A 15,098-nucleotide genomic window follows, 5' to 3' on the forward strand; every position below is an offset into this window, starting at 1 on the left:
GGATTTTGTTATGACTCACAGCAGTTACCAGCAGTGTCTCTACTGTCTTTGTTCCCAAATACCTCCAATCTCATCCAGAGACTCGCCCTCAGTGCCCCTGAATGCTTGTGTCACCTGGCTAGCTCAGGGCATTACTGACCCCTGAGGCTCCCTTTCCATGGCTTGATGTTATTCTTCCTTGCCCTAGACACTTTTCACTCCACACTACCCGTATTAGGATGGCAGTAGCTTTGCTTAATTTGTGGTCAAATTTCAGTGGAACATATTCTTGCAATTTTTCTTACCTTGAAAGTAGGGCATGGGATGGAGTGGCCTTATATGTTCAGTTCCTTTCAATGACCTCAGCTTTTTACTTTGCCTGAGCTTTCATTATTTTTTTTTTCTGAAAAGGACAACTATTGTTTTATTTGCCCAGAATTCTTTTCCTCTTCTTCTCAAATATCCAGGCCTCTTCTTTTGGAAATGCCTATCTCTCCATTTCCAGGGTTCTAATGTGTGTAGGGGCCACCAATTCCTTACACATCACGGGCTCCAAATGATCTAAACAGGCTACATTTTAAATCACAAAATTGTGCCTACCTGGTCACAGTTACTGGGTCCAGGGGTAGCTTTAAGATTCAAGAGTCCCAAGACTCAAGAATCCCAAGACTCAAGATTCTGGTTTTCAACCCAGGATTTTTCAAGTAAAACTGACAAAGGGGATTAAGTTCTTTTCCAGTAGTGAAGCTGTGGGATTGATTGGAAATCTTGCCTTCCTCCGTCCAATTACGGCTTGAGGGGTTAATTGACGGGTATGTTTTACTGATTGCTTGGGAGATTTTAACTCCTAAATTATATGCTTCTTCTACATGCCTAGAAACACATTGCTAGATCGCTAAGATCACTGTAGAAATGCAGTTTAGGCTCTCGGTACATGTTATTTGCTCCTTAGAACATCCTGTGAGAAATTTAGTGCAGATAACAATCTCTCTCTCTCTCTTTCTTTGACAAGGAGATTAAACATGGCAAATTTTTTGTCCATTTTTACATGAGTAGAAAATGGCAAAGCCAAAGTTATAACTCAAGATTCTTGATTTTAAGATTAGTGTTCTTTCCACTATACTACATTGCCTGTTTGTGACTTTTGTAATCTCTATTGGACACGATTACCCAGATATGGAGGTTAATATTGCCTCAAAATTGTATCACTTTTGTATCTCATCATTTTAAAAAACCTTACCTATGTACTTTATTATTTTACTTTAAGTTCTGGGATACATGTGCTGAACGTGCAGGTTTGTTACATAGCTACACATGTGCCATGGTGGTTTGCTGTACCTATCAACAATCATCTAGGTTTTAAGCCCCGGATGCATGAGGTGTTTGTCCTAATGCTCTCCCTCCCCTTCCCCCTGACCCCTGACAGGCCCGGTGTGTGATGTTCACCTCTCTGTGTCCATGTGTTCTCATTGTTCAACTCCCACTTATTTGTGAGAACATGTGGTGTTTGGTTTTCTGTCCCTGTGTTAGTTTGCTGAGAATGATGGCTTCCAGCTTCATCCATGTTCCTGCAAAGGACATGAACTCAGAATAATATTCTTATAGGAAAGTATTCTTGAATTAAATAATGCTCTAAGTAGTGAATTGGTCAGTGTGGTGGTTTTAAAAATAAATCTTCAAACTTTTTGATAGCCCTTCTTTACTTAATTACCTCCCTTTGAGTGAGGGCGGACTTAGTGACTTGCTTCTAACAAGTAGAATATGGCAGAAGTGACTGAGATGCCTGAGATAAGGACATAAAAGACATTTTGATTTTCTCTTTTTCTCTTTCTTGGATCATTCACTTTGGGAAAAACCTGTTTCCCCACTTAAGCAGCTCTACGGAAAGACCTGTGTGGCTAGGAACTAAGGCCTCCTGTCAATAGTCCTGTGTATGAGTCATCTTGGAAGTAGATTGCCCAGCTGCCGTCAAGCCTTCAGAAGACTGTGGTCCTCACTGACATCTTGCCTGCAACCTCATGAGAGTTCCTGAGCTAGACCACCCAGTTAAGTTACTGCTGGATTCCTGACCACAGAAACTGTGAGCTGGTAAATGTTTATTGCTTTAAGCCACTCAATTTTAGGGCAATTTGTTATGTAGTAATAGATAATTAAACAGATTTGGGTCACACACTCTTAGACTTGATTTGGATGCAAGGTTCTGCATTTTGAGTTGATGGCATAAAGGGATGAGAGTTCTGAGGGTTCTTGGGAGGTGAGTTCATTTTGCATGTTGGGGGAATGTAAATAATTTCCAACCAGAGGGCAGCTCTGGAAGTTTAAAAATATGTCCACAAATTCTTTGATGTTCCTTTCTTCAAAGATAGAGCCTAATTCTCTTTCTCTGGCAATAAATAACTAATATAACCAACTTCTTCAGGGATGCCCAGAAGACCCTGCACTTGGCTTAATGCCCTGTTGTTGCATCTTGCTCAGTTGCAAGGAGTCTGGTTTGAACAAGAGGCCTCACCCTTTCATTTTTGCACTTTCATTGTGCACGGGGTATGTGGCCAGTCCTGAGCTGCATTTTCTGCCACAAACTTGGGGTCACTGCCTTCCTTGATATTTGGACTTATTTCTGTCCCCAGAGCCCTAGGGAGCTCACTCTCTGTGGTCTTTAGGAATTTGGGAAGTGGCTACTCATTTTACTCCACCTTAGGACAAAAGTGATTCCTCCTGGTCCCTTCAATTGTCAGCTTAGTTGGTGATCTCAACTTCTGAGGTGAAGACACTCAGGGAATGTTCATGGTCAGTGGCCCATGTGGTTCTTCTGAGCTTAAGAGGCACTGCATTTAGCCAATTCCTGATTCTCCCCATCTTTTTCTTGACTTCTGCTCCTTTGTGGGGCCACACGACATCCCTAAATGTGTTGTTTCCTATCTTTTTTTTAGTTATTTCACCTCCATCTCCTCCAGGGATCACCACACCTTTCTTCATTTTCTGGGGTGCACCTTCAGACACTTCTGGACCAGATCATTATTTGCTAACAGTAGCATTGAACTCAATTACACCTAGATACTCCTCCTATCCAGGTTGAACACATTCTTAAATCAGCAACAATTCCCCTTGGGAGAAGATATTTGAGTCTTATGGGCTAGAAATTCACTTTTTTTCGGGGGGGAAAATGTTTGTCCAATGCCTTCCCAAAATGGCAACAAATGGGGCAGTTCTTAGAAAATAATGTTGTTTTTAGCTCCTAAGGAACTACTCCATCAAGCAATAGCTCTTAAGCAGGAACTTGTAGTATGAATATCTTCACTACTCTTGTATCAGCATTGTGGAATTTTCTATCCACTCTCAGAAATTCTGCAAACATGATACAGTCAGAGTTTAGGCGATTTTATCTTCAGCAGTTTCTACTATAACCAATGCAGTGTAACCTGCAAGATGCCAATGTGGGAGCTGTTCTACATTTGGAGTCTGATTGGAGAACTTGTAGCCATGACTTAGTTTCTTTGGTTGACTCAATTGTAGGCCATTTGACTTATTTTTCAGAGCAGGCTAGTTAAAAACATAAGACATGGTTTCAAAGGTAGGGGTGTATTTACTTGCTTCTCTCTAAGATTATGCCTAATCTCTTTTGACATGGAGATACCAAGAAGATATCTGGGCACACATTAGGAAAGAACTGAGGGGAACTGAGAGGCTTCTGGAGATGAGTGAGGGTTCAGGCCTTCATTAAGCCATGCAGAGTTTGTCCAAATACTCACTAGGGGCAGTCTAGCCTTAATTAGATTAATATATATTCAGGCACACATATGGGGTAAAGTCTTATTATTTTACATATCACAATGGCAGACATAGAGATGCATTGCTTAGATCCCCCTTCAAGAAAGGACGTGATCCTTAGTTGCAAGGAGTCTGGTTTCCTGGCAACCTTCTGTGGTTTTCTTCTTCAAGTCTACTTCAGTCTCAGAGCTGGGACTGCCGTAATGGACAGTTGTTGCTCCAGAGATTCTTAGTGGGCTGGCTGAGACTTGGTCTAATATGGATTATGGTTTGCTATCTCCCCTTACCTAGTCCCCCCTCCTCCTGTCTCTTTTCACAGATGTTACGCTTCAATCTACTGTCTGCATTCTTAACTCTGTCTCAGCATCTGATTCCCAGAGGACCTAACTGATGGTGGTTCCAGGAATGCTCAAAGAAAACAGGTGGTAAGATGAAGTTTTGGGCTTGGATCACTCACAGCCTGGCTGGCAATGAGATCACCATCCCAGGTGGTATCCCAGGTGGTATGAGGAGGGCGCAGATAATCTCTGGCATGAGGTGTTGGCCTGATTGCAAAAACTTTCTCTGGTGAATTGAGAGAATGTTCCAATGCAATGATTAAGGCATTTGAAAAGTACAGGAGAAATAATCAATACAAGGAAAATGAAAATTGGCTGATTGTTACTAAGTTGTATTAATGCCTGGTAGAGGAATAATGAAAAGCTGAAGGCAGTTAAAAATTGAAAACTAACAAAGTCACAAGTCTTATTTGGTAGCTTACAAATAGGCCTTTATCTTTGGCATTTGGAGAAAAGAAAAAGGCCAAACTCAGGATTAAATACAGTTCTCAGCTTCAAAGACCATTGGTTACAGAGCTGAGGCAGAGATATTATGCCAGGGGTGGGGCTTTGGATAAGAAAACTGAGATTCTAATGCGTGGGAGAGGGACAACTTGTTGGCTGCCTCCCAAATGTTAGCTTCCCAGACTCCTCTGGACTCTTAGAGCTTGCAGAGGTTGCCTTTTCCCCTATTAAGAGGTAATACAGGCTGGGTGTGGTGGCTCACACCTGTAATTCCAGTACTTTGGGAGGCTGAGGTGGGTGGATCGCCAGGTCAAGGATCGAGACCATCCTGGCCAACATGGTCAAACCCCATCTCTACTAAAAATATAAAAATTAGCTGGGTGTGGTGGCACGTGTCTGTAATCCCAGCTACTTGAGAGGCTGAGGCAGGAGAATTGCTTGAACCCAGGAGGTGGAGTGAGCCAAGATGGTGCCACTGAACTCCAGCCTGGTGACAGAGTGAGACTCCAGCTCAAAAAAAAAAAAAAAAAAAAAAAAAGAGATAATACATTCCTCTTTTATGTGAGAAGCCATTGTAGGCTAGGTGATGTATATGGAGCCCATCTTCTGCAAGGTAATAGCCCTGCCACATTCCCATCAAGATAAGGCCTCACCTATTCTCTTGGCTGCCAGGCCTATATTAGTGTTAAGTCACAGCATGACCCAGTTTGGGATGTCCTGGATCTGATAAAGGAAGAAAGGTATTATACTCCAAAAAAGTTACATGACCTAGTCAGCATGTACCAACATGTACCAGCAGCACCCAAGGTACTAGAGTTTGAGGGTTCTTGAACATAAGACTGGGTAAGGATGAGTTTACTGGCTTGGAGGCACCCTTAGAATGAAGGATTTGATGTCTTGGCAAAGACTCCAGGGCACAGTGCAAACTGACTAGTGAGGCTTCAAGAAGCAAGAGAAAAATGAAAATCTATACTGAGTGAAGTGGTAATACCAGAATTGTCATTGTAAATACTGCAGTAAGAGAATGAAAGTGTCAGGGAAGCAGGCATGCTGGAATGGAGATACTACGTGAGGCCAGAAAATCCACCAGAGGTTTATGTTCCATGAGAGGGCAAGAAGACACATACCATTTACCAAAGCCACCAGGAAGGCACTGGTTAAAGGCATACCAGCATCATTAAAACATTTCAGTGTTGGCTGTCCTTTGCAGACCAGGTCTGATGATGGTAGGGGCTACCACACAACTTAATTTATTGATAGCAATGGGGTTTTGAAGGTACAGTATTTCTATTCTAGAAATGGTATTTGGGCCCATATACTTGGTGACTTGAAAGGCTGCTTTCTTTAAATGGGGCCCAAAACAAGAAAGGCATCTGTAATATGTCCAGGTAGCAACACAAGCAGCTCTGTTGCTTGGGCTATTTGATCCAGCAAACCCTATTAGTATGAGAATAAAAATGCAGATTCCTGAGTTTATGCAGCAAGGCCATAATACCATTTGAAAGATAACTCCTGGCACCTGAATAATTCCTTGTAAAGACAGAATACTTGGTCATGGGGCACTACATGACCATGAGTTCAGAATTTCCTATGATGTATAAGGTCCTGGTGAATCACCAACTCATAAAATCAGGTGTACCCAGCAGCATCCTGTTGTAAGCTGGAAGCGGTACATCTAGGATTTAGAACAAGCAAGACCAGGGGACACAAGAAGCCTTCATGAGCAAATAGCCCAGACTCAGCACAGTTGTACCAGCCGCACTTTCCTCAGTGTAAACTTATGGTATTTAATGTATTGCATCATCCAGAAGCATCTGGCCTAGTAGAGTGTTGGAACAGTTGCTGAAGTGTTGGAGCAATACTCTGAGGATGTGGTGCCATTCTCCAGGATGCAGTACATACACATTATTAGAGGCTTCTATATGGTGCTGTGTTACCAAAAGAAAGAATGCATAGGACCAGGAGCTAAGGGATGGGAGCAAAAATTGCCCCATTTACCACCATTCCAAGTGACACATGAGGGGGCTTTTTGCTTCTTGTCCCTGAAACTCCAGGATCTGAAACATTAGAGAAGGAACTCTTGTTTTCAAAAAAGGCACACTTGCCAGGAGAAACACAAGGTCCCATTCAACTGTAAGCTATGGCTAACTTCTGAGACCTGTTTGACCCTCATATTCAGGGAGAAGCAGGTGAGAATAGCCACCATCTTGGCAGGGTAACTGAACCTGAATAACAGGAGATGGGGCTATTGTTAAACAATACGGGCAGGTAATCCACTTGGGTGCCTCTTGGTTCTCCCTTGCCCAGTTGTGTCTATAAACAGACAAGTGCAGCTAACCTCATCTGAGAAAGATACTGTGACATGGGGCCCACATGCCACATCTACTCATAGGAATGAGGGTTTGGGTCACACCAGCAGGTAAGACACAAAGACCAGCAATGTTGGTAGTTGAGGGTAAAGGGAGTTTAAAATGCACAGTGGAGGAGGAAGTAATTATCAGCTGTGGTTCTGTGTCTGACTGCAGCAATAAGGCTGTGGTTTGTCTCATTAACATCCCTTTTAGTTTCTCCTTGGGTAAAGAGGTCTACAATAACCCTGGAGGAACTTCCTCTCAAACTTGTTTGGAGAAATGGAACCATGCAACACAAGGGCTGAAAAGTGGCAGATATAGAAACGAGCCAGTTCTATTTCTCTTCAAGAAAGGGCGCACATCCCAGCTGGGGGAAATGTGGTTCTCTGAAGTGTCCAGCTGTTGACTATTTCCAGTTCACCTCAACTTTTGAGCTGAGGTCATGCTCTTCTCAATGTGGCCCCTGTGGGTGACAGAGCAAGACTGTGCCACAACGGTCTTGCCATTTCTACCCAACGCATGATGCCAGAGCTCCCACGAGGCTGGCAGATACTTTGACAGATATCATTGTCTGACCCCTCTGCTAGACCAGTTCCACTTTTGCTCTTTTCTTTTCACATGTGTTGTTCCCCAATAACACATTTTTTCACCACTGTCTCCATACCATCTTCCCAGTGGAGCCAACTTCTTTTGATTTGGAATTTAAGAAGATGGATTAAAATGTATTTTTATAATTGATCTATTTCAAAAGGAGGAGGCGTATTAAGCAAATTAATTGTTAAAAAGGGAATGTTTAATGACAATAAAGGACAGTATATTCCTGATACCACTAGACTGCTACATTTGCATGTACACTTTTTATCCCTGGGTTACTTATAGTTTACATTTTACATTCACTTATGAGAGTGTTTAATGTTCCAAAAGTAATGGGAAAGGACTTAAAATATAATCCTTCAATGAAACAAAATTTTATTTCTCAAAATATGTCATGTAAGTCGATTTTACAATACAAAGATGACATTTCTGTGAAATCCCAGAATTAGATGGAAAATGAAGACTTTGATGACTTCCTCTCCAGTAACTAAATGCATTCCTGCTTCTAGGCCTTTGCTCATATTTTTTCCTTCTTTCTTTCCTTGGCTGCCCACTCAGAAACTCCACGGCAGGAAAATCACTGGAACCTGGGAGGCGGAGGTTGCGGTGAGCCGAGATTGCGCCATTGCACTCCAGCCTGGGCAACAAGAGTGAAACTCCGTCTTTAAAAAAAAAAAAAAATACAACCCCCCCCCCCCCCCCCCCCCCCCGCCAAAAAAAAACAAAAAAGAAACAGTGTTGTCAAGAAGCTTTCTCTGACTGTTCTGGGGGATTAAATGTTTCACTCCTTCATTCTTAGACAACACTTTGACCTGCTGCACGTATCTGGCATTTGCTTAGGAAAATGCTTTATTAGTTAATTAAGATTATCCCTTGTCTGTCCAAGTAAATTTGAAGTGCTTTAAGACAGGTCTATGGTTCATTCATATGTTTGTTTGCCACTTTGTCTCTGGTCAGGGTCTGGGAAACAGAAAACACTCACAGATGTGGTTTACTTTTTCTTGTTTGGGACATCTATTTATTTGCCGATAACATAGGACAAGGAGTGCGTTTTATCTTTCAAAGGAAAGACTTTACTCAATTATTGTGTTTCACTGTTTGCAGTTCAAGATCTATCTATATAAGTATGCAGATAATATACCCTCAGCTGGTTCACTTTACCTCTCTGGCCTTATATTTCTCATTTGTAAATTTAGGAAACTAGATTTTATAGTCAAAATCAGCTAGCATTTACTGAATACTTATTATGACTGAGCTATTTGGTTAAATAATTTTATTCAATTCTCATTTTTTCTAGAAGAGAATTCATTGGTTTACATAATTTTAGTTGGAAGTGGACTGAGGGAAAATGGCAGATAGGAGGCAGGACTAACTTGCAGCTCCCACTTGGATGGACAGAACAACATATGGAGACTCACATAATGAACTTTTGCTCCAAGAACTACCACAGAAATATGCCAGGAAAGCCGAGAGAATCCACAGACCCTTTGAAGGAGGTGGATTGCTGCTGCAGGCTCCGTGGGACAGCTGAGGAACTGTGAGTCAGCTTGCTTTCTCAGCTGGGAGGCTTGTAGCCTAGGGCATGTTCTCAGCTCTGCTCACAGGCTGCCTGGAAATAAACTTGGTGCTACTGGGTGGGCATGGTGGGAGTGAGACTGGCCTTTCAGGCTGTGGGCTACGTGGGAGGTAGGTGAGGCCTGTGACTGCTGGCTTTCTCCCACTTCCCTGGTGACCTGTGTGTTGCAGCAGAGGCAGTCATAATCCCCAGGGAACAGAACTCCATTGGCCTGAAAACCACACTCCCATCCCCCACAGCAGCCACAGCAAGCCCTGCCCAAGAAGAGTCTGAGCTCAGACACACCTAACCCTGCCCCACCTGTTAGTCTTTCTCTACCTGCCCTGGTAGCCAAACACAAGGGACATAATCTCCTGGGAGCTATATGGCCCACCTACTGCCTGACCCTAGGGCAAGCTTGTATCTCCCTGTACAACCACAGCTGATGTGCTCTTGAAAGCACCACTTCCTGGCTGGAGGCCAACCAACACAAAACCAGCATAACTTAACAAAAATACAACCACAGACCCTCATAGAGTCCACTTCAGTCCCCTGCTACCTCCACTGGAGCAGGTGCTGGTATCCACGGCTGAGGGACCTGAAGACAGATCACATCACAGGACTCTTTGTAGACATTCCCCAGTACCAGCCTGGAGCCCAGTAGCTCCACTTGGTGGCTAGATCCAGAAGATAAATAACAATCACTGCAGTTTGGCTCTCAGATAGCCCCATCCCTAGAAGAAAGGGGGAGAGCAACCACATCAAGGGAACACCTTGTGGGACAAAAGAATCTAAACAGCAGCCCTTGAGTCTACCCAAATGAGAAGGAACAAGAAAAATAATTCTGATAACATGGCAAAACAAAGTTCTTTAGCACTCCCAAAAGATCACACTAGCTAACCAGCAATGGATACAAACCCAGACAAAAATCTCTGGATTGCCAGAGAAAGAATTCAGAAAGTCGGCTATTAAGCTGATCAAGGAGCCATCAGAGAAAGGTGAAGTCCAACTTAAAGAAATCAAAAAAATAATACTGGATATGAATGGAGAACTTGTCAGTAAAATAGATAGCATAAATATAAAACAATCACAACTTCTGGAAATGAAGGACACAATTACAGAATTGGAAAATTCACTGGAAATTCTCAGCAATAGAATCAAACAAGTAGAAGAAAGAACTTCATAGCTTGAAGATGAGGCTTTTGAATTAACCCAATCCCACAAAGACAAAAAAGAAAGAATAATAATAATAAAAAAGAACAAAGCCTCCAAGAACTTTGGAATTACGTTAAACAATCAAACCTGAGAATAATTGGTGTTCCTGAGGGAGAAGAGAAATCTAAAATTTAGAAAACATATTTGAGGGAATAATCGAGGAAAACTTCCCCAGCCTTGCTAGAGATCTGTAAATCTGTATTAGTCCATTCTCATGCTGCTATAAAGAACTGCTCGACACTGGGTAATTTATAAGGAAAAGAGGTTTAATGGATTCACAGTTCCATAGGGCTGGAGAGGCCTCAGGGAACTTACAATCATGATGGAAGGGGAAGCAAGCATATCCTTCTTCACATGGTGGCAGGAAGGAGAAGTATGAGAGCCAAGTGAAGGGGGAAGACCCTTATAAAACCATCAGATCTCATAAGAACTTACTATCATGAGAATAGCTTGGGGGAAACTGCCCCCATGCTTCAATTACCTTCCAACAGATCCCTCCCATGACATGGGGATTATGGGAACTACAATTCAAAATGAGATATGGGTGAGAACATAGCCAAACTATATCATTTTGCCCCTGGCCTCTCCAAAATCTCATGTCCTCACATTTTAAAACACAATCATGCCTTTCCAGTAGTCCCCCAACATCTTAGCTCATTCCAGCATTAACCCAAAAGTCCAAGTCCAAAGTCTCATCTGAGACAAGGCAAGTCCCTTCCACCTATGAGCCTGTAAAATCAAAAGCAAGTTAGTTACTTCCTAGATACAATGGGGACACAGGCGTTGGGTAAATACACCCATTTCAAATGGGAGAAGTTGGCCAAAACTAAAGGGCTACAGGCCCCATGCAAATCCAAAATTCAATAGAGCAGTCATTAAACCCAAAATGATCTTTGAATCCATGCCTCATATCTAGGTCATGCTGATGCAAGAGGTGGGCTCCCACAGCCTTGGGCAGCTCTGTCTCAGTGGCTTTGCAGGATACGGCCCTTCTCAGCTACTTTCACAGGCTGGCCTAGAGTGCCTGTGGCTTTTCCAGATGCATAGTGCGAGCTTTTGGTGGATCTACCATTCTGGGGTCTGGAGGATGGTGGCCCTCTTCTCACAGCTCCACTAGGCAGTGCCCCAGTGGGGACTCTGTGTGGGGTCTCCAACTCTATATTTCTCTTCCACACTGCCCTAGCAGTGGCTCTCTACTAGGACTCTGCTCCTGTGACAAACTTCTGCCTGGACATCCAGGTGTTTGCATACATCCTCTGAAATCTAGGTGGATGTTCCCATACCTCAATTCTTGACTTTTGTGCACTGCAGGCTCAACACCATATGGAAACTGCCAAGGCTTGGGGCTTGTACCCTCTGAAGCAATGGCCTGAGCTGTACTTTGACCCCTTTTAGCCATGGCTGGAGTGGCTGAAAACCAGGGCACCAAGTCCTGAGGCTGCACACAGCAGGGGGTCCTGGGCCTGGCCCACAAAATTATTTTTCCCTCCTAGGCCTCTGGGCCACATTCCTCCAGACCCTAGTATCATACGTCCACTGACAGCTTGCGCCATGTGGCTGAAAAAGCCACAGGCACTCAACATCTGCTGTGAAGGTCTCTGACATGCCCTGGAGACATTTTCCTCATTACTTATGCAAATTTCTGCAGCAAGCTTGAATTTCTTCCCAGAAAATGTGTTTTTCTTTTCTATTGCATCATCAGGCTGCAAATTTTCCAAACTTTTATGCTCTGCTTCCTCTTGAACGCTTTGCTACTTAGAAATTTCCTTGCCAGATACCCTAAATCATTCTCTCTCAAGTTCAAAGTTCCCCAGATCTCTAGGGCAGGTGCAAAATGCTGCCAGTCTCTTTGCATAGCAAGTCACCTTTACTCCAGTTCCCAAAAAGTTCCTCATCTCCATCTGAGATGACCTCAGCCTGGACTTCATTGTCCATATCACTATAATCATTTTGGTTAAAGCCATTCAACAAGTCTCTAGGAAGTTCCAAACTTTCCCACATCTGTCTTCTGAACCCTCCAAGTCTCTAGGAAGTTCCAAACTTTCCCATATTTTCCTATCTTATTCTGAGCACTCCAAACTGTTCCATCCTCTGCCTGTTACTCAGTTCCAAAGTCACTTGTACATTTTGAGGTATCCTTATAGCAACACCTCACTCTACCGATATCAATTTACTGTATTAGTCCATTCTCACACTGCTATAAAGAACTGTCTGAGACTGAGTAATTTATAAGGAAAAGAGGTTTAATTGACTCACAGTTCTGCAGGGCTGGGGAGGCCTCAGGAAACTTATAACAGAAAGGGAAGCAAACACATCCTTCTTTGCATGGTGGCAGGAAGGAGAAGAATGAGAACTGAACAAAGGGGGAAGACCGTTGTAAAACCACCAGATTTCATGAGAACTTACTATCACAAAAATAGCATGGGGGAAACCACCCCATACTTCAATTACCTCCCACTGGGTCCCTCCCATGACATGTGGGGATTATGGGAACTACAATTCAAGATGAGATTTGGGTGGGGACACAGCAAACCATAACAACATCCAAATGCAAGAAGCTCAAAGAACACCTGGAAAATTCATTGCAAAAAGATTATCACCTAGCCTCATAGTCATCAGGTTATCTAAACTCAAGATGAAGGAAAAAAATCTTGAGATCTGTAAGGCAAAAGCATCAGGTAACCTATAAAGGAAAACATATCAGGTTAACAGCAAATTTCTCAGCTGAAACCCTATAAGCTAGAAGGGATTGGGGTCCTATTTTTAGCCTCCTTAAACAAAACAATTATCAGCCAAAAATTTTATATCCAGTGAAACTAAGCTTCATAAATGAATGAAAGAGACAGTCTTTTTCAGACAAATGCTGAGAGAATTTGCCACTACCAAGCCAGCAGTACAGGAATTGCTAAAAGAAGCTCTAAATCTTGAACCAAATCCTTGAAATACACCAAAATAGAACCTCCTTAAAGCATAAATCTCACAGGACCTATAAAACAGCAGCACACTGAAAAAGAAAATGAACGCAACAAATAGCATGATGAATAGAATAGTACATCACATGTCAATACTAATGTTAAATGTAAATGGCCTAAATGCTCCACTTAAAAGATACAGAATGGATATGAATTCACCGACCAAGTTTCTACTGTCTTCAAGAGACTCACCTAACACATAGGACTCACATACACTTAAGGAAAGGGGTGGAAAAAGATATTCTATGCAAATAGACATGAAAAGTGAGCAGGAGTAGCTATTCTTATATCAGACAAAACAAACTTTAAAGCAACAGCAGTTAAAAAAGTCAAAGAGGGACATTATATAATGATAAAGGGACTAACTAGTCCAATAGGAAAATATCCACAATTCTAAATATATATGCACCTAACACTGAAGCTCCCAAATGTACTATTAGACCTAAGAAATGAGATAAATGATACCACAATAATAGTGGGGGACTTTAATACTCCACTGACAGCACTAACAGGTCATCAAGACAGAAAGTCAAAAAAGAAACGATGGACTTAAACAATACCCTAGAACAAATGGACTTAACAGATATTTACAGAACATTCTCCCCAACAAATGCAGAATATACATTATATTCATCAGTACATGAAACACTCTCTAAGATAGACCATATGATAGGCCACAAAACAAGTCTCAGTAAATTTAAGAAAATCAAAATTATATCAAGTACTCTGTCAGACTACAATGGAATAAAATTGGAAATCATCTTCAAAAGAACCCTCAAAACCATGCAAACACATGGAAATTAAATGACCTCCTGAATGATCATTGGGTCAACAATGAAATCAAGATGGAAATTAAAAAGTTATTTGAGCTGAATGACACAACCTATCAAAACCTCCATGATACAGCACAAATGGTGCTAAAAGGAAAGGTTATACCTTAAATGCCTACATCAAAGAGTCTGAAAGAGCACAAATATACAATCTAAAGTAACACCTTAAGGAGCTAGAGAAACAAGAACAAACCAAACTCAAACACAGCATAAGAAAATAAATAACGAAAACCAGAGCAGAACTAAATGAAATGGAAACAATCAAAGAAACAAAAAAATACAAAAGATAAATGAAACAAAACAAAATTTGCTTCTTTGAAAAAATACATAAAAGTCATAGACCATTAGTGTGGTTAACCAAGAAAAGAAGAGAGAAGATCCAAATAAGCTCAATTAGAAACAAAATGGGAGATGTTACAACCGACACCACAGAAATACAAAAGATTATTCAAGGCTACTGTGGAAACTTCTATGGGCTTAAACTAGAAAACCTAGAGGAGATGGATAAATTCCTGGAAATATACAACCCTTTTAGATTAAACCAGGAAGATATAGAAATTCTGAACAGACCAATAACAAGCAGCAAGATTGAAATGGTAATTAAAAAGTTACCAAAAAAAAAAAGTCTAGGACCAGACGAATTTACAGCTGAATACTATCAGACATTCAAAGAAGAATTGGTACCAATTCTACCGACACTATTTCAAAAGATAGAGAAGAGGGAATCCTTTCTAAGTAATTTTATGAAGCCTGTATCACCCTAATACCAAAACCAGGAAAGGACATAACATGAAAAAGAAAACTACAGACCAGTATCCCTGATGAACATGGATGCAAAAATCCTCAACAAAATACTAGCAAACTAAATCCAACAGCATATTGAAAGGATAATCCACCATGATCAGGTGGGTTTCATACCAGGGATGCAGGGATGGTTTAACATCCACAAGTCAATAAATGTGATACACCACATAAATAGAGTTAAAAATCATGTGATCATCTCAATAGAGGCAGAAAAAGCATTTGACAAAACCCAGCATCCCTTTATGATT

The 15,098-nt window shown here is 41.7% G+C and overlaps 2 long non-coding RNA genes across 2 annotated transcripts in view; both read left to right on the forward strand.

The window, feature by feature from the left end:
• The window catches only part of LOC105370802 (uncharacterized), a 225,875-nt gene that overhangs the window by 156,970 nt on the left and 53,807 nt on the right, over positions 1 to 15,098 (forward strand). The window lies entirely within an intron of this gene.
• LOC107984794 (uncharacterized) lies at positions 1,853 to 10,286 on the forward strand. Its single transcript, XR_001751511.2, has 3 exons — positions 1,853 to 2,067; positions 4,067 to 4,172; positions 8,772 to 10,286. It is a non-coding gene; the product is annotated as an uncharacterized LOC107984794 (long non-coding RNA).

This window comes from Homo sapiens, chromosome 15 (assembly GCF_000001405.40).
Source record: "Homo sapiens chromosome 15, GRCh38.p14 Primary Assembly".
NCBI lineage: Eukaryota > Metazoa > Chordata > Mammalia > Primates > Hominidae > Homo > Homo sapiens.